The 20523-nt window shown below is 38.1% G+C and overlaps 1 protein-coding gene across 2 annotated transcripts in view, besides 2 other annotated features; it reads left to right on the top strand.

Annotated features, from left to right (window-relative positions):
- Positions 1 to 20523, top strand: part of EFNA5 (ephrin A5) — a 294044-nt gene that overhangs the window by 61375 nt on the left and 212146 nt on the right. The gene's annotated exons all lie outside the window — the stretch shown is intronic.
- Positions 10301 to 10595: an enhancer, noted in NCBI's record as "tiled region #6875; HepG2 Activating non-DNase unmatched - State 9:DNaseU". NCBI's record gives its function as "activates a minimal TATA promoter and a strong SV40 promoter by Sharpr-MPRA in HepG2 cells {active_cell/tissue: HepG2}" and the evidence as "EXISTENCE:reporter gene assay evidence [ECO:0000049][PMID:27701403]".
- Positions 19487 to 20413: an enhancer, noted in NCBI's record as "OCT4-NANOG hESC enhancer chr5:106924851-106925777 (GRCh37/hg19 assembly coordinates)". NCBI's record gives its function as "activates a minimal SCP1, AML or CMV promoter by ChIP-STARR-seq in primed H9 embryonic stem cells {active_cell/tissue: H9 hESC(primed)}" and the evidence as "EXISTENCE:reporter gene assay evidence [ECO:0000049][PMID:30033119]".

Genomic DNA, 20523 nt, shown 5'->3' with positions numbered 1-20523 from the left:
TTTTGCATGGATCAGCATTGGGTACACTTGCCGTGTTTTAAGACCTCTTCTGCTTAGGAATTATTTTTCTGATTTTGACGTGGATCTACTACTCCTGCCGCTAATGTTAATAACCAGGAGAGAAAGATCAAAGGAGGCCAAGTCACGGGAAGGCAGGAGGAGGGCTGGCATGGCAGACGGTTAGCTTTAATTACCAGTCTTATAGGTAATTTTAATAATGACAGATTTTAGTTGTTGCTTAAGTGAATGGAAATTATTGATAGTAAATTCTCATTGCTTTTGTTTCTTTGTGTGATATTGGATGCTGGGGTAGAAACTGTACCCAACCATACATGATAACAACCAAGTGCGTTTTATTAGAAATGTAGAGAGGATACCCTTTTAATTACATTGTATAATTTTAGTTGGTCTTCTTCCTATTTCCTTCTTACTTAATTTAACAGCCACTTGATGATTTGAGATTTTTTCTTTTATAAATTATTGTAGCTGTATATGTATGTGTATGGAATATGCAAGGCCCATGTTTTGCAGGAAGAACTATAACACTCAGAATTCAGTAGATGAAGAGAGCAACCAGGAAGTTTTGTAGTGCTCCATTTATTGAATATATCACAATTAGAAAGCCACTATTTAGGGTTTAATGAAAAAGCCTAGAGCCCTCCCAATTCTAGTAAAGTGTTCTGTTGGCTGGGTATTTGGACATTCACAGAAACTGATCTCTTTATTCAGCTTCTGGAATAAACCGAGCGTTGGGACCAGCCTGCTTGGGGCCATCATTAATGCCATTGTGGATAAAGGGTGAAGGCTGTGGCCACATGCAGCTCTGCTGACACTTTGTGAAAGGTGAGCCCAGCCATGAAGTCGTGGGTGTGTCTTGCCCAGTAGGAAGATAAAGCACAGCCATGAAGTTATAGTTGACTTGGTGCCTCCATCTCCTGCTTTAAGGGGCACCTCTCTTGGGAGCTCAGGACCTTGCTGCTGGTGGCCTCCCGGCACCATGACATGCAGGGGACAAAGGGAATATTTTGCAAAGAACATATTCAGCTGAGATAGGCAGGCAGAAAGATCTGTCTACATGGGACATAACATTTGAAAGTGTCTGCATGAACAAGAAGGAAAACTAGAGTTTGAGCAGTGAATTTTTACGATGAATGAGGCTTAACATTTTAAGTTGTGTATGAGACTGTGGACCACAGCATGGGAATCTGTCTTCATTTTGTTGCATCGATGGCTACATCAAGTCTCCTAACACGGTTGCTCAAAAGGAGGTACAATGTGAATCACAGAATGGCGGAGCCATTTGGGGACTGAACTGAAAAGCAAGCATTCTGAGCAGCAAACAAGACACCTAGAGGCCGGCATCTGTCATTTAGCTTTTGAAGCCTTTGCTTCAGGGGAAGTTACACATTTCTGTATGATAAGTACAACTCATGCTTCAGAATTAATTGCAGCAGCAGTGATGTAACATTGCCAGCCCTCTTCAGAGAATAACTCAGTCTGTGTTCGTTTTGACGTTGCTGAACGTTGTTTTCCTCATATGGTGCTGAATTTTAAAAATTTCCATGAAATTTGCAAGCAGATGGAGAGTAGATCGCTTGGACTACCAGGCTCTGACAGCTTATCTGCATTTTATTGTGAAGGTGGCAGCTTTGGAAGGTTATGAGAGAAGTGTTAGGGGGAGGAGGAAATGCTGAAGGATGTAATAGGTTTGTCTGGTCCAGGTCTTTTTATAGATGTGGGTCATGCACCGTAAGCAAGGTGAGGCCCTTTGTGACACTGAAGATTTATTTGTTTTTTGCTTTCCTCCCTCCTATGGTCATACACTCCCTCCTTCCTCTCCCCCTCCACTCCTCACAGCAAGTTTGGAAGAAACTGTGTTGAGAGGTGAAGGAGAAAAAGAAGACCAACTTTGAATTTTTAGCTGAAAAGATACAAGTTCAGCTACCAAATATCATACATAGTCTATGTCATGATGAGTATTGATTTAAACAGTAGCAAAATATTTTTAAAAGTCACTTGTAATATAGGTTAGTAAAATCTGAAATCTGTGAAAAAAAATATAATTCGTTTTAAAGGTTTGTACCTGAAATGGCCAGAAAGCAAACTAGACAGTGTTGTCTTAAAACAGGTTTTTTAAGGTATTGATTAACTGGGCTCAAACTCTACTGCAAATGTTTGAAGAAGGAAAAGAAATGTGTGCAGTGCCCTCTCTAGCAGGCAGCGAGTTAGCCTACTCGCCGTTTTATTTAAGTGTGTGCGAGTGTGCTTCCCACCCGGGGTGGGAGAAGGATCATAAACCTCCACCATTTTCTATTCTAATGTATCAAATTGTGTTATTAGTCATAGCAGTCTGGTTCAGAAATGTTTTCATTTGTATTTGCAGACAATCTCTTTTAGGATATACACTTCATATTGGCTTTCACTGCAGTGGCAGATTTTTAGCATTTTAAACACAACTTTGAAACTCAAGGCTAATGGCAGAGTGACCATATTCATGTTTTTGTTTCAATTGTTTACCTATTATTAATATAGTTATATTAGATCTCTGTACCTTTGAGAAAGATTGGATAGAGAAACAAAGAAAATATCAATCCCCTTAGGATAGGAGAATACAGATTTGTGAAAGAAGGGGTAAGAAGTATTTTAAAAAGAAATTAACAATGGAGAGAAAAAAATTAGGGCGCTGTTCCTGGCATCAGCAAACTCCAGGAGAAACCCTTTTCTATTCATTGATCTGTAAAGTCTGTATTTAAAGGATATCAGAGTGCATTGTTCACGGAGAGAGGGGAAAAGATGGGAACTAATATTTATAGAGCGCCTACTACAGCTGTGATATTTTGTAGCCCTATGAGGCAGGAATTATCATCTTGATTTTATGGAAGAGGAAATTGAAGTTTTAGAGATATTATGTAACCTTCCAAAGTCGTACAGCTAATATGTGGCTCAGATAAAAATTCTGCTATACCGCATTACTAGCTCTGTGTGTGTGTGTGTGTGTGTGTGTGTGTGTGTGTGTGTGTGTGTTGTACGTGCAAGTGTGTGTCTATGATTTGGGTAGAGTAGCAGGAGTGCAGCATCAAAGCAATTAAAAATAATACAAAACAGGTAGATGGATAGATGGCAGAGAATGAGGAAGGAATTAAGTTTCCCTGTGTGAATCAAGTGGCTTCATGTACTCATTCACCCAGTAGGAAGAGAAAAGCTATTTTAAAAGTTGAGGCCAATGCTATTCTAATCTGTTCTTTACTCTGCATTAAAGCCTTATGTGTAGGCAAATCATATGAGCTGGTGAAAATCAATTTTAATGTTCATTATGTTACAGGTAATAATACCACAGTTTGGGAAAGGACTTTAAAAAAAAAGTCAAGTAAAAAGTGGCTTCATTGCATTAAGTATTTGCAGCAGCTATTTGTCTGAGCACGTAGAATTCTTAAGATTTGCAATACTTGAGTAGCTGGATGATTGGGCAGAGGACTTGGTCATGCTGCATTGATTTGGAGCATGTGGGCCCTGTTGAGTGCTATTCACAAGTGTAGTCCACTGCTCGTCTCTGTTTTTGATCACCTTCTCACCTTGAAGTGACCTGAGTGATATTATACAGGAAACAGGAGTTTTATTAAAATGAGAGTGATACTCCATCCCCTGGAAAACCATTTTATTCAGTGCCAAGAGAAATAGAAATACTTGCCCTCCCCCTGCTTCCTCCCAGTGCCCCATATGGGCTTTACAAGGAGGGAAGAAAGCCTGTTATTGAGGACAATATTGAAGGGAAGAGAGGTTGGGGCAGGCAGGGAAAAGGGAGGTTCTTGTAAGAACAATGCAATCTCTGTGTTGTTTAAATAGTATGTGACTTTAATTCTCAGTCAAAGCCTGTTGAAATACATATGGATCAACGAACCACTTTTGCACCCCAAAAAAAGAGAAAGGTGCTGGCAATGAACCATATTGAAATTTTGGGTTGAGAGTTTGAAGGTGAAATTGTCGGGGTGGCGGGGGGTGGGGGTAAAGGTCGTAATAGCAACAGGATGTACCATTTGCAGACTGGTAGGTCAGCCTTAAATCTCTAGGTAGCTCAGGTTTATTGCTCCTATAAGGTTTCTCACTATTATCATGACAGCCGTCTGCTAACAGTGCAATTTTCTGCTGTATTCATGTGTTTAGATAAAAGAAGATTGCAAAAAATTTTCAAATAAAGGTTTACCTCATTCTCTTGCCAGGTAACTTTTGTCATTAATGTGCTGAGTTATGGTCTCGGCATCATGCACAGTCAAGAGAGCTGATCCTCTCTGCTGGGTCATATATATGCTTTCCTTCCTAATACCCATAAGAGGCATTAGGGGGAAGGAGAAGAATATAAACACAGAAACCACATCCTAACAGCTGCCTCTAGTTAGCTCTGCTTCCCCCCCCATCCCCACCCCCGAGCTTTTAAATCTTGCAGCGGCACCTAATTTGTCCCACATGGCTTTCCTCCCAGTGGAACCACTGGCCCTTTTCTTGCTGCCCTTTTTGATCAAAAGCAAACAGTTATGAAGAATCAACTAGTTTAACTAGTTTAGGCCACTGTCTTTAGGCTGCTGGTGTGCAGGTGCCTATGAATAGGCAGGAGATAACCATTTGTAGATTGGGAGAGACTTAAAACAGTCTGAACCTAGTTAGGTGCCAGTGGACCTATGAAAACATCCCGCAATTAAGCACTAAGTGAGACAGTGAACCGCTGAGTGAACTACCGTGATGGGAATAGATGAGTGATTTTTGACCTAGTGGGGCAGATCAGAATCATGTAGGGCGCTTAAACATTTCGTACACATGCCAACTCCTGCCACTGACATTCTGCCTCTATTTTAATACGCCTGGCAGTGATGAATATAGATACTACAGATCTGTGTTCTGACATGTCTGCACGGCAAGTGGGTTGCAACTTGCATTATGATATTTATTTTTTTAAGTTCTAATTATTTTTTTCTTATATGTGTTACTCATGTCTCCATTCCTTTTTCCATGTTATTTTTTGAATGCAGTGAGACCAAAGACAGATGCTTGTAGAGCAGTGTGCTGAATTAAGTTATTTCCTTCACTGAGACTAGTGTTCTGTTTCTCTCTTCCAGCTCATGTTTATTTCTTATTGCTGTTGAGAAGTAAGACATGAAAGCCACACAACCAATGTGCTCTTCTTGTGACTTTTAAGATAGGAAATTGGTTTGGTTAAAAAAAAAAATCAGAGCCAGGTGCAAGCCCATACATGGTCCCAGCTACTCGGGAGGCTGAGGCAGGACGATTGCTTGAGCCCAGGAGTTCAAGGTGGCAGTGAGCCGTGATACACCACTGTATTCCCATCTAGGTGGCAGAGGTAGACCCTGTCTCTTAAAAAATAAATAAATAAAAGATTAATATTGGTGACTGGGAATAGCCATTCTCTTATAGATGCTTAGCTGTCCAATAATTATCTGATTTTTAAATGCATATTGCAGAATAATATTGGTTCACGTCCCCAAAGATTTGAGAAATGTGTGTACTTCACCTTGAAAAAGGAGTACCTGAATTAGTCCTTACAAAATTACCTTGTCCTTATGGTTTTGCTAAAGAACTGATATTCTTTTTGTAAGGTAAGGGATAAACCTATCACAGCTTGCTTTGAAAGGTCATTGTCTCTTGCAAAGTAGATTAACTCACTTTGTTCTATGAGCAGGAACCACATTGCCGTTCTGTAAAGCTATACATATAAAGTAAATTTCTGCTATCACTTTGGCTTGCTCTTGTAAAAGAAATTTCATGCCTACCAGTTTTCACTTGCTAACATAAGTCACAGCTCCTCACGGTTAGAGTGTCAGGACAGACGAGAGTGGTGTCTGTAGCTTGTTTCCACTTCTAACATTCTTTGCTCTCAGTAAACGTACTTTACCAAGCATGGGAAACACATGTAAAACACTGATGACAAATTTGGTGATTTAATGTTTTTTATGTTGTTGGAGCTGGTCGTTAGTAGGTGAGCCACAGTAGTAATTGAAATGAACTTGCATTTTATGGAAGTGAATGACTAAAATGGAACCTTTCCCTTGGTTCATGCGTATTGTTCAGAATGAGAACGCTGTTCTCCTGAGGTATGGCCTACTAATCTCAGTTAAGTATAAATCCTCATGTATCAGAGACAGTGATTTATCCTGTCACTTAGAAAAGCCTCTAAATTTATATGAAAGTGAGGGATAAAAATTGCCATGATATTTCCTTGAGAAACTACAGTCAATTCTGTATATTCTTTCCTTTCTAAGCTAAGACTGGAATGGGGGAAAATTCCATTAAAAGGAGTAGTGACTCTTTGATGCACCTTGAACTACAACCTTCCTTACAGTAGCTAATTCATCTAGAGTGTCCAGGAAGGAGGAGTTCGGCTTAAATCTGCTTAATCCTTTAAACAATGAAACAGTTATAACTGCTCTCATTGCAAATGTTCTAAAATGTCACAGTCATTACAAGAAGTGATTTGACTAAGTATGGTGAGTTTTCTCAAAGAACCAGGACCCTCATTAAGAACACCATTTATTGAACTCCTTGGTAATACCGGAATGCACTCGGGAGCCTTCGAGGTCTGTAGGTTTAGCCTGACTTCTTTATGATTTTTCCCAGATGGCTACGTCTCCTGCCTCCTGCCAGTATCTAGGGCTTTTTATCCCAAAGCCCATGGCCTCTAGTCACTGTGCTCTTCTAATTAGTATTTTTTTCTTTCTTTCTTTTTCCTCCTTTGTGATCATTTCTATTCTCCTCTGCCACGTCTAACGACTGGGAACCTGCTCTGACTTCCAGAATCCCAAATCGGCTTTCCTTTCCTTTCTCAGTTTGTAAGCTAGGACCAGTTTGAGGATTTCTAGTTGAATCCAGATAAGTATTACCATGTAATTAAGTCAAATTATTAGTCCTGTCCCCAGCCTGTGAGGTGTTTGGGGGATGGAGGGGAAAATGCACAGCTCACTCTACCTCTGTTCTGCTGAACAAAGTATAAGGGCTCTGAAACTGCTGTTTTCATTTAGCTTGAATGTTCGTTTGTTTTGTTCCTGATGTTCTGGGTTTCCTAATTGTTGGCCAAAAAATGAGAAGCAATTCCACTTTCCCTTCTAATGGCAGGCTTAATAGGCTCTGATTTTTATCTTTACCCCATAGTTATTGTGACTTTTTTCTTTCTTGGAATGGTTATTTGTTGGGATGATACATCCACATACATTAACAGGCCTGTTTCGAGGTAATGAAGTCCCAAATTCTGTCTCATCAATATACTCCTCATCAATATTCAGAATTACAAACATTTTATGAAAAGCCATGTTATATATAGATAAGTGAGGTACCTGTGGATTTTCCAAATTTAACTCCTGCATTAAATGGAGACTGAAAACAGCTCCTCATATGAAACATGTTTTTGCTTTGAGTCCCATTAATAACGTGCACATTTTCTGTGATCATAAATCACCATTCCTTCTTTGCCTCCTCTGTGAGCTCACGTCTCTTTCCCGAGATTCACCAGCGTTAAATTCGGAGTAATGCTCATTGTTAGTATTCAGTAAATTAAGGGATAGTTTAAATACATGCAATAAGCCTGGAAAGGGGAAAATAATTGGTTCCTAGAAAGCTGTGAAAGACTCCAAAAACATAGGTTTTTGAGGAAACTTCTTACTTCTTTAGTGAATATTGTGGCATACATAGTTTATTGTCTCAACGAGTCATCATCATGAAGTTAAATTCATAGAACTCCAGCTTACCTCCACAAATTATCTAGGTGTTTTTGTTTTTTGTTTGTGTGTTTCTGTAAAGGTAACGATCAAAAGGAAAAGGAAAAAACATGAGTTAAAGAATTTGGAGCACCTTGCACAATGTCTAGCAACTAATAAGTGTTCAGTTACTGCACTTACCCTTAGCAAGTATTATTAATGTCAGTTGCAGGCAATTCTTTCTAATTTTAACTCTTAAGGACTTTTATTTTCTTTAAAAAGATGGTCATTACCTTATCTACCTAATCAACTGAGAAATTTTTCATGTTATTTTGCTCTCTTCTTAAGATTAAATTATATAGATTTCCTAACCTCCTTTGATTTTGTATGCTTGATTCATTTTGGTTGTTTTCTCAGAGTTACACTTACTTCTACAGTCCTGAAGATGGTGCAGCCCAGTACAGTGGTGGGCAGAGACTGGCAGTGAATTACTCTGTGCTTCCCTAACGCTCTGCTTTATGGGTTACGTTATCTTCCTTTGAAATGTCCCCACTGTCAGCCCTGCCAGCTGACATAGGAGCTGAGATAGAGGTAAGATTGCGTCATGAGTTCTTTGCCAATGCGGCCAAAACATTGTGGACAGTCAAAGATCTCCTCCCTTGGAACATAGTACGAATGGTCCTGATTTCTAGTAATAATATGTTATGAATGCTTTTCCTATGAAACAATCTAAACCTCTTTCGAAGTTACTTGTAGATTCAGCATGTATCTCATCTAGGGATGATGAGTTCTCTAAGTTTTCCACATACTTTATAGGGACTGCTAGCTTTAATTTTTCACATTTACCAGGTTTGAAGGTAACAAGAACTTGATCATTGCTTGTCTCAGCTTTCATTATTTTAGACAAAGGGCTTTCAATCTTTATAGGTCTTCTGGGCTTTTCTGTATCTTAATCAAGATACGGAATCTTTCTCTCCTCTAACCTGTCCTCAGCTTTTCACGGGGTGAGGTCCAGATTTAAGATGGGATACCAGATTAAACATACTTCAGAATTGTATATTAAGAGAGAAACATTTTTGGCTGGGCCCAGTGGCTCACATCTGTAATCCCAGCACTTTGGGAGACTCAGGCGGGTGGATCACTTGAGGTCAGGAGTTTGAGACCAGGCTGGCCAACGTGGTGAAACCCTGTCTCTATTAAAAATACAAAAAATTAAGGGGGCATGGTGGTGCATGCCTGTAATCCCAGCTACTCGGGAGGCTGAGGCATGAGAATCACTTGAACCTGGGAGGCAGAGGTTGCAATGAGCCAAGGTCCTGCCACTGCACTCCAGCCTTGGGGACAGAGTGAGACTCTGTGGCCAAAAAAAAAAAAAGAGAAACATTTTTTATTAACTTAGCTGATTACCTTCAGTTTATTGCTGGCCTCTGGGCTACCACAGTATATTAGGTTGTAATCGTTAGTGAATAGTCATCAGTGGCCAACAGTTCCTCTTCTTAGGTTGTAACTGACATCTTGTAGCCAACTGATCATCGTCCAAGAGTAATTTATATTCATTTCCCTTAAATGCATGCCATTACAGTTGCCCACATTTCAGCTTCTGTGCCACTGTTCTATCTATTCACATAGCTCTGTGAAATCTTACTGCAATTCATCTCTTGTTAACTTGGCATTCATTTCCCTTCTGTCACCTTCAAACCTTAGCTCAAATTCACTTCCTCTGGGAAGTAGCCTGTGATTAACCCAAAATGGCACTGATCAGTCATATTCAATATCTGGATGACATCAGGGGAACTTTAGCATCCAGGTTCTTCTGTCATTCTGGGTTTTGTTGTAATTTTCATTTCTTGAATCTGTCTACTTCACATTCCTTTTTACTGAGTTTGGAAGGTATTCATGAGATTGAGGAGAGTCCTGAAGGGAAGCTGCTGCTTTGGACAATAGCAGGTACTTTCAGGTTTTTCCAACTACCTGCCTAAAGGCAGCTGCCATTGTGTGTCTGCAAGGCACAGCCTCGGAGATGCATTTCTGAAAATGAGAGCAACTCACTGGAGTCTTCCTAGCAATGGCACTACAGTAGGATTTTCCTAGAAGCATACTTTGGCAATTATTCTTCTTTTCTCATCAAATTCCTAAAGTTTTGTTCCATGCCCTATAGGTAGCTACTTTTCATAAAATATTTAACAAATCTTTCTAGACTGCAGTGATATTTATGATTACTACATGTTATAAAAAGTTTTCTATCGATTTCTAATTGGCTGTAGATCTATTTATTTTACTTTTTAGTAGTTAATACATTCAGAAGGTTCAAACAGCAACATGATAGAAAAAGATACAGAGTGAGAAATCTTGCTTTCTGTCCCTGTCTCCATTACCCTATTCCCCACTGCCCCATATATGAAGCCACTTTTATTAGTTTTCTGAGTATTCTATTTTTGTGCAAGCATATGCAAATATATGTTTTATAATCCCTACTTTCTTACTTAAACCATATCATACTCAGAGCATATCTCTGTTCTGTATCTTGCTTTTTAAATTGGAAATATGTCCATACCTGGATAAAGAGACCTTCCTCATTATTCTTTACAACTTCCTACCACTTTATTGTATAGATGTGCTATAGTTTGTTTAGGAGCTCCCTAGTGATGGACCCTTGGATCGTTTGCAGTATTTTGCTGTATAAACAATGCTGTAATGAATAACCTTGTACACACATCATTTCAAATATGTGTCTACTGATCTTTATCCTCTGGTTCCCGTGCCCATTTCCTCGTAGACTTCTTAAGTCACAGAAAAACCAAATATGCATGTTTTTATTTCCCTTAATATATCCACAGTGACTTCCTGACTAGGGAAGCCATGCTTTGAACTGTAGGATGCCCCCAATCCAGGCGTTTAGTGTTTCATTTGACTCAGTCCTGGTCTGTTTGAGCATCTTTAACTCAGTGAATTAAGCTAAGAGAGAATGAATGTAATTCAAAAGAAATGGTTCACAGTCAGATGTAAAGAGTTAAACATTGTGGAATTTTGCCATACAGTGAAATATTAAAATTTCATTTAGATCATTCGGCATGTTAGATAAAAAGCATGAAAAAATGTTGTATTGAGATTTAAGAGTAGAGAATTTAAATATAACTGGCCGTGAGCAAAAAATTAGTGTCATAGTATACTGGTCTGAGTTCATAATTCTGATTCTGAATTCTGACCTTTATAAGACCACCTGTATGTTTATCTGTATGTATTTATGGGTTCAGAAGTTGCTTTGTGGGTACATAGCCTTCCAAAGGAAAGATTATAAACTTTTCAAGTAAATAATTCTGTTTCATTGTCCAGTCTTTCTTTTGTTTCTTATTTCTCATCACATCTGGTTTTGCACAGAGTCTGTGGTCCACTATGAACCTTGATTTTTCTATATTAAGTATAACTAGTCTTTTCCTATAATTTAATTTCCTCCATTCATAGAGAAATTTAGTTTTTTGCTTATCCTCTCCACTTTTGGAGTATTTACTCTTCCACTCAATTTGGTGTCAGAGCCAGTGATTATGGATAAGATGTTAAAAATTATGCAGGACTCAGGGCAGGACTGCAGTAAGGAAAATTATTTAACTCCTCTGATTCCTGATCTGTAAAATGTGAATAATAACACTGTGTCTTTTCCTCTTTGTTACTGAGAGAGGGGTAGTGGGGAGGAATGTGAAGCACCTATCATTGTATCTGACATGTGGTAGGACCTCAATAAATAGTAGGTATTCTACATTATCTCCTACATATATTACTTTATGATTTTCTATTATCTTTGAAGACTCTTAAAGTTATCGTAAATGGTTGAATAAATTATTCAAATGGTCTTTAATAGTATCTCATTTAAAAATAGGAAAATGACTACAGAAGTTGTTAGAGATCCATGTTAGTGTGCTTACAGATAATTATTAGGTCTCTCCATTTGTTTAATACTTCTCCATTTTTCTGGCAGTTCATTAGGAATTCTGTCGGGGGATGCACTTCTATCAGCGCATTATCAGCAGCTGAAGAATTTTCAGTTTTCTGCTCACTCAGTGCTTGTAAAAATTGAATATATATCGTTTCCCCTTTATCATGTTGAAAATCTCTGGTTCACGGTCTGTTGAAATTCATCTTGTTATATTCAGAATTCATCTCCTGGAAGCAGCAACAATACACAAGGCTTGAGTACACTTAATTTTCAGTGTTTTTGTTTCAATTCCTTTTTCTACACTTTTTTTCTGGGAGATATTTTGTTTTAATCTTCTCTCCCCCCTTTCTCTAGCCAAGTTTTTTGTTTGTGAAAAGTAATATTTTTCCAAGCTATATTCTGTGTGATACAATATGGCCATGTTTCAAGACGTTCTTCAGCTCTTGCATCCAGCTACTAATTCAGTGCTCTGAAAAAACTAGATGATGTTTTTGTGGTGATGGGTCAGTGCCAGTGGAAGGAAATAATTTTGCGGAAGATGAATCCATTTCCAAGTAATGTTGGCTGAGTGGAAGCTTACATTGGAATTTGTTAGGTTGTCTGATGGAAACCAAATTTGACCAAGACGAGACTGTGTATGTTATCTGTCTTTGCCTACTCATGCATACCTTATGGTATGTAGATATATAGGACATAATTTCACTTCGATAGCTAATTTTAGGCTTTAAGATGATTTAAATAGTAGTTTTTATTCCCTTTACTAAATATTTTTGATGGATCTTTTTAAAATATTGTAATCAAATTTAAAATGACGTATTTCTTAAAACAGTTTTTATGTGCGTGGTTCTTATCAGTGCAACAGTCCTGAAAGAAATGAGTGTTTTAAACCTCAATTTACAGGTGAGGAAGTAAGCTCAGAGAAGGTAAGTAACTTGCTCAAAGCCACACAGTTATTAGGTACCAGAGCTAAATGTTGGATCTTGGGTCCTGGGGTCCTGATCCACCTAATTCAATTTTTGTCAACTGACTTTCTGTTTTGTCTAGTGAAGTGCCAATGAGATTTCATTTTAGGACTGTTACAGTTTGTTGATTTTCTCAGAATGTAAAGTCTCAGTGGTGACAAAAATAGAATTTTCAGTATTTTTTTTTCCTCATGTCTACTTTGGACGGGGAGAATGGAGGAGTGTTGTCAAAACCTGCTAATTCCATCTACCTCCTTTTGCTGGGAGAGAGAGACATTTCAATTTTATAGGTTAAATAACTTGTATATATTTGCAGGCCAAAGATTGAATTATCAAAATTATTAATAAATTACTTTTAAAAAAGGAAAGTCATCACTTTCTAAAAGAAATAGCACATCCATTTCATTACAGCATTATTCACAACAGCTAAGAGATGGAAGCAACCTAGGTGGCCATCCGTGGATGAATGGATAAAGAAAATGTGGCGTATATTTATATACCATGGAATATTATCCACTCTTTAAAAAGAAATCCTGTCATATGCTACACCTCAAATGAGCCTTCAGGAAATTATGCTAAGTGAAATAAGCCAGACACAGAAAGAAAAATGATTCTACTTATATGAGGTATCTAAAGTAGTCAAGCTCTGGAAATATGGTTGCCAGGGATTAGGTGAAGGGGAAAATGGGGAGTTATTGTTCAGTGGGCATAGAGTTTCAGTTTTGGCTGATGAAAATGTTTCAGAGATGTGTTGGAAACATTGTGCATATAATTAACACTACTGTACTGTACACTTAAAATGGCTAAAATGATAAATTTTATGTTTTTGCCATAATAAAAAATAATACAAGAAAATTGAATTTTCCTGTAACAAAGTAGTATTAAGTAAAATGTTAGCTGTACTGCTTCCCATTGAATTTTATTTTTCTATCTTGTTTTGACAAGAAATAGGAGGAAGGGAATATTTTTTTCTGAGGCAATTAAAAAAATAAATATTTGGAGTAAATGTAAGCCTTTTGCTTATTGCCAGCTATGAATATGTGTTCTTTTTCATTTTTGCTTTTTTAGGTTTATATATCTTTTTCTCTGAATAGGTATCATTTATTGGGTATGTAGATGCCTGACACTTTGAAGTGCGTATTTTATCCCCATTTTAGAGATCAGTAAATTGAGGACTGAAAGACTTAATTAACTTGCATGTGGCACACAGCTAGCAGTAGCAAAACAAGAAAGAAATCTGGGTCTGTCTGATTCCGAATCTTGGGCTTCTAATCCCTTGTGGACACTGAGGGGAATGGGTGTTACCCCCGGCATTGCAGGGAAGCTACTCAGATGTGAACACTTTTCTAAATAAGTTTTATGATTTCAGGAAAATTATAAAGTTGAGTTTATAGTAAATTAATTTTATCTTTCCCTTTCCCGGCTTCCCAAAAATGAGTTATTGCTTCTTTTTCTGTAAATAATATTTATTAAATTATGAATGTAAAAAAATGTGGTGATATATAACAACTGAGCTTCATATTAATGGTATATTTAAGCTTTATAGGATAGGGTGAAGTGATTTTAATTATTGGGGTTTGGTAAAGGTTTATACCAAACATATTTGTTTCATAGTGAGCCCCTTGTTGTATAGTAAGTCTGATTTTATTAATTTGTACAGAGAAATTCCTTTGTAAAATATGACTGACTTTTCTTCCTCTTAGGGAGACAGATTAATAATATTTCACTATTAATTAGGTTCCATCTGCTCATCCTGCCTTTCATTCTAAAGGTTATACTTATTACCATATTCTCAAACCGACCCAACTGTGTAATCAAAGTTTAAAAAAAAAAATTAAACCAAAGGTTCAATCTTGGTTTTTATAGTGTACTTTTTTGGTTACTAAAGGGGGGACCAATGACTCCACTTCCTCCTTCTTCTATATTTTCTTTGATTTCATTTTGTTTTTTCTTGTAATCCAGCCATATACCACAAATTACACAAAATTAAACTATCTGATATGAGATACAGTAATAAAAAAAAGTGGCACACCCACTTAGCCGCTGTTTTGGCCAGAAGGTCTGCTTTGGTATCCAGGTCATGAGAATGAACGGTTGAGCAATGGAAAGGCCTAAATGCTGTCTGTATTTGGGAATAATGATTTGTATTTCATTCCTGGGTGTTGTAATTTCACCGGTGCTGGTCAGTGCATACGGGGTAAAACAGGGGGCTCCCATTTCCCCAGGCCTATAAGGCCTGTCAGGGGAGTGCTGTGTGAAGGGGAAGGATTAGAAAATGGTTGGGAGAAAGCAGGCCCTGACTTTGTAGCTAAAAATATGAATAAATGAAGTTCCACACCACCAACTGAGTAAAATTTGATGATAGGGGATTACTGGAACATTCTATTAACTTGGGTTTTGCTTTAAAAAATTAACTTTTGAAAAAAGTTGAATCTCTGAGCTTATGTGTAAGGGTTTGGCTTGTGGATAGTGGTGATTACAGCAGCTGGCACACTTATCCAAACCTCTCACTGCCACACCCTGCAGTGACCTGGCTCAGTTTTTCCTCTCCTCCTGCCCCCTGCCTTGGAAGACTGCCTTTCTGTCTTCCTTTTCCTGTCTCTGTGCCTCTCAGTACCACCAGCAGCCCTTCTTTTTACCCCTCATTATGAGCCTGGTGTAGCTTTAGTGGCTCATTCAGTTACAACATTTTTAAAAAGGTGATTATGAATGGATGTCTACATACATAATCTTTAACAATCCATCTTACCTTCCTAACTGGTCTTTGATAAAAGAGCCTCACAATTTTTAACACTATCATGAATGTGGCATTTTTAGCACAGATGAATCAGTTTGTATTGATGAGGTAGATATACCCAGGTTACAGTATTATTTGAAACAAGATGCCTTTTTTCCATTCAAGTTTAATTATTTGAAGAGCCAGTCATGAAAAGGAATGAGAGAACAAGCACATACCTTGACTTGTCTCACCTTTTTAACTAATCAAATAACTATTTTATGAGAAGCAAGTATTCTCCAGTAGGCAGAATGTAATTCTAGTTTAGTAGCTTAAAAATAAAAGGATTATAAATACCAGAAGGATTTTCAGGTGGAAAGAAGATGATGGCTGGGTCAGGAAAGGAATTAGATCTGAGCTATTGTGGGAGATCTTGGGTGAGTTTGTAATTATTTGATAGTGGTGGTGGGATCCTTTTATAGCAACATTCTGTCTTTTATTCTGCCTTTTTCTTTTAACATTTTCTTTCTGGTTCTATTTCCTTTTTCACTTTAATCCTTCCGGTCCCATAGTTCAATGCTGGCTGCATGTTTAGAATCACCTTGGGTGAGGGTGATGCTAGCACCTACCCCTAGAAAGCCTCATTTAATTTGAGTCAGGTGAGGCCAGACTGTTGGTGGTTTTGAAAGCTCCCTAGGTGATTCTGATGTGCAGCCAGCGTGGAGCCCCTCTGCTCTCGAGGTTTGAACATCTCTGACAAAACTGGACATGTCTTAGGAACCATAAGCAGGTTGGACTTTAAGTCAGAAGCAGTGCTGTTTCCTATCGTAGTCTTGGCATTATCGACCACGTTAGAGTCATCAAACAGTTTGGCTGGAAATCTCCTCTCCTTCCAGAAAGAACAGATTTGTTCTCCTGGTGCAAAGCCACAGAATGCCTGGATACTGAAGTCCGGTCCTGTGCTGGGCAGATGCTGCTCCTGGAAACAGACTGGCCTTGTTTTGACAGTCCCAGATGGATGATTGACAATGAGGAGTGCACATAAGGGTCGAGTCTCTGTATCTGATTAGTATCTTCTTCCAGTCATGGGCTCACTCAGCTGCTCTCAGAGCTGTTTCAAAACAGGTGCTGATGTATAGCCATGGACATAGCAAACAGTTACATAAGAACTGCTAACTAGGAGCATGAGCAGAGATCTCATGCCACAATCCCTTCTGGAGGTTAGTTTCTCACATCTCTTTTAATATATTGCACTGCTGCTTTTGTGAAACATTAAATTTGACAGATTTTGCCTCATCACTGCTTCCTCATGGCTATTTAGAAAAATTAGTCAAAAGAAGCTTGGCTTTTCCTGTCTCCACTATGGCTTGTGAGCTGAATTCCTTCGCAGAAAAGAATGGCAGTGGGCTCTCCGGCTTGTCATTTGGGTGGAGACATTAGGAAGTGTGATGGCTTACTCCCAGTCACAGATTTCACTTCACCTCCCTGTCTGTGTACAGCTCCACTGCAAGCACTGCTCACAGATGCCGATTCGCTCACATTGAAAAGGTCCTATTCCAGCTCCAGGATCCTCCTTTTCTGAAGAGCCTGTCCCTGCATCTCTTTGGCAGTCATGTTCTGACTGCGGCCTGGTGCTCCCCTAACCTGCATGGAATAAATTTAAAGCTAAGAGATAACATATTGTTGGTCTGTCTCATTTCCTCGACATCGAGACCAGTTTTTAAGTAATTTTAGAAGCCTAGTTTGAGAGAGGTCTTTTTTTCAGATTAAAAACATGAGAGTATTCATAGACTATTTAAAGCATGTCCATGTTGCCAATAATCATGTGATATTTCGCTTCACTTTACTGAAGAATGAGGGGTGTATTTGCATCCATCAGTTGACTTCTTGGTCAAATTTATATACCAAAAGTGTACTGTGATTTAGTGGAGATTGATCATTGGTATAATTGAAGTTTATACAAACTTATTTTTAAATGTTGGAAATCTATTTGAAAATATACTTGAATACATTTATAAAATTTATAGTACAAAAAGTAACTGCTTTGGAAATAAACTGGAATATATTTTGGGCTTGCCTACTCTAATGATATTTAATGTTTGATTCTTCATTGACTCATTTATTCTATATATTCTATATATAATATATATAAAATATATTTTTATTAAAAATTAATAATTTATTATTATTATAAATATATGTTTAATGTATAATATATATAATATATAATATATATTATATTATATATATTATATATTATATATATTATATATTATATATTATATATATTATATATATTATATATTATATATAATATATATATTATATATTATATATATATTTTTTATATTATATATTATATATAATATATATATTATATATTATATATATATTTTTTATATTATATATATTTTATATATATATATATATTTTTTTGAGACGGAGTCTCCCTTTGCCACCCAGGCTGGAGTGCAGTCGTGCAATCTTGGCTCACTGCAACTTCCGCCTCCCAGGGTCAAGCAATTCTCCTGCCTCAGCCTCCCGAGTAGCTGGGATTACAGGGGCCCGCCACCAAATCTGGCTAATTTTTCTATTTTTAGTAGAGACCAGGTTTCACCATGTTGGCCAGGCTGGTCTCGAACTCCTGACCTCAAGTGATGTGCCCACCTGGGATTCCAAAGTGCTGGGATTACAGTGTGAGCCACTGCACCCGGCCTCAATACATTTTTATTAAGCATCTACCATGGGTTAAATTCCTTCATCTATATGAGGGGATCTCATACATGCCAATAAAGGCAAAGCAGGTAACACAAAGGAAGAAAATAGGATGCTGTGGAAAGAATAGGGAGAGGTGGGGACTGTGGTCAGCTGGAGAGTACAGCTCCCACCTCCAGGGGTACCTGGTGTTCAGCTCTATGGCTGGGCATGAATGTTAATATGGACAGTGTTGCCAGATGCTACCATATTTTTATGAGAAGCTAGTTACCTAAATTTTTAGGCCATCTCCACATTGACTTTTAAATGTTGGCTCAAGTTTTTAAAAACATTATGTGCCAGCCGTGTAAGATACCTATGTTGGCTGAGGGCTCTTTGTGACCTTTGATCTTTGTAGCTCCCCTGCCTCCCAGCCCACCCTACCCAAACACGTGGAAAACATTTGATCAGGGTAGCTTACTTTAAAATTTATTCTCAGCACTGAGAATTCCATGTTAAGTAATTAAAAATTATTGAAACAACAGATGGTAGTAAAATATGTACAATGATAGCTTTGCTTCACACATACACTCCCCTCTTGACCCACCCACACAACTGTTAAAATTTTTGCATTAAGAACCAAACTGGTTACAAGCGTCTATGATTATTGGTGTGGAAAATGCACATAAATACAGGCACATAAACTATCCAGATGACTAAAGGAGTTATGTTTGCATTATTTCTCAAAACAATTTCTGAAAGCAGTTGTGGTTGCAGTGAGTTTTGTCCAGCTTTATGACTATGGAACAAGTAAGATTCTTCCTTTATGTGTGTACACCATTTACCTTTAAGATAAAATCATGTCCATGAGGCCAGGTGTGGTGGCTCACTCCTGTAATCCTAGCACTTTGGGAGGCTGAGGTGGGAGGATCACTTGAGCTCAGGAGTTCAAGACTATCCTGGGCAACACAGTAGGACCCTGTCTCCACAAAAAAATAGAAAAAAAAATAGCTCAGCCTAGTGGTGTATGCCTTTAGTCCCAGTTACTTGGGAGGCTGAGGCAGAAGGATTACTTGAGCCCAGGAGGTTGAGGCTGAGTGAGCTGTGACCATTCCACGGCACTCCAGCCTGGGTGACAGAGTGAGACTGTCTAAAAAAAAAAAAAAATTATGTCTATATCTAGAGTTCCTAGATCACCAACATTTGACACAGAACTACAAATTCTGTCTCTTAATGGAACTGCTTTGGAAGCATTCCAAGAATGTTATTCTTCCTCAGGTTGCTGTTTGGAAGGTAGAGTTTAGAATATAGGAAGGAATTACTCCAAGAGAGGAGATGAGTTGTTTCTTTTAGCATTTTTTTCTAAAGGTCTTGAAAGCCTTCTTTAGCCATTTCTTTCGTCCTCTTACCTGCTTTGGTAGATGGCTCAATATGACTATGCTACTCTTTATACCGATGAGGAAACAAGGTATGGAAGTATGATTTGTCTATCCAAATCACCGTCTCCAATGAGAGTCATGGAAGACAAATGGCTGTATCTCTGGTCTTACGTAAATTCTCTGCGGTCCATGTGTTTACATAAGACAAGGGAATATAGCTATTCATTCTTGAGAAAAGGCAGGAGCACTTTTTCTGGCAGGGTTTCTAGAAGGAGATATTTTGGAATTTTAACTAAAAGCAGAAGAAGAAAAACCCAAGTCATTTAAGTTTTCTTAGCACACGGGTAAAACTCAGTGGAACAGATGCTTTAGTACCTGAGACCATTGTTTTCACTGAAACCCCTGTCCTCTTCCAGAATCAACATCAATAATCAAGGTAGAGAGTAAACAAAGAGTGTTAAAGGATGCTGTCTCTGGCCTTCTTTTTTCTTTCTTATGATGATGATAAAATAACAAAGAAACAGATAAATGGCCTCTTTCACTCCGCATTGTGGGAGCTGCAGGGAAACAAGTTGGTGGATGCTTCATTCACTAGCATTGTACCTCTTTGCAGAAGAAACTCCATGTATTTCAACTTCATTCTGCAGTTTTTAAATGCTAACTATGGCAAAGAGTAACTTACTCCTTTGTTGGTGTGTGTGTGTGTGTATATATGTTTATAGTCAGTTTTTAGTTTTTTTGGAAGCCGCTTAATTCACTTGCCTATTAGCAGGGCTCTTGATTATACCTTTTCCCCCTACTTGCTTTAGGTCTTTCGGTCACTTTGTTTTCTTAGGATCTGAATAGAAAAGGATCTGGGAATGAAACTCAAATGACCAATTCTGGTTCTTTAAGCAATTTTGGGCTTGGTCTTATGAGCAAGTTAAATAGATTGCTTATGCTTAGCGTTTGTAGTTATCTTAATTCAGTCATCCTGCTTTCCCTTGTCAAGCATAATTCAGTTGGCTTTACATAGCTAAATCCATGTCCATCTCCATAATTTCTTTTTGAGTTTACTCTCTTTGCCCCCAATTTGCAGCCACTTGAAATGGCAAGTCTCTAGACTGGGTTTCACTCTCATACTGCCACATAGCAGGTAGGGGCT

Source organism: Homo sapiens, chromosome 5 (genome assembly GCF_000001405.40).
Source record: "Homo sapiens chromosome 5, GRCh38.p14 Primary Assembly".
Lineage (NCBI taxonomy): Eukaryota > Metazoa > Chordata > Mammalia > Primates > Hominidae > Homo > Homo sapiens.
Note: the sequence above shows the minus strand (reverse complement) of the source record. Positions and strands in the feature narration are given on the sequence as shown.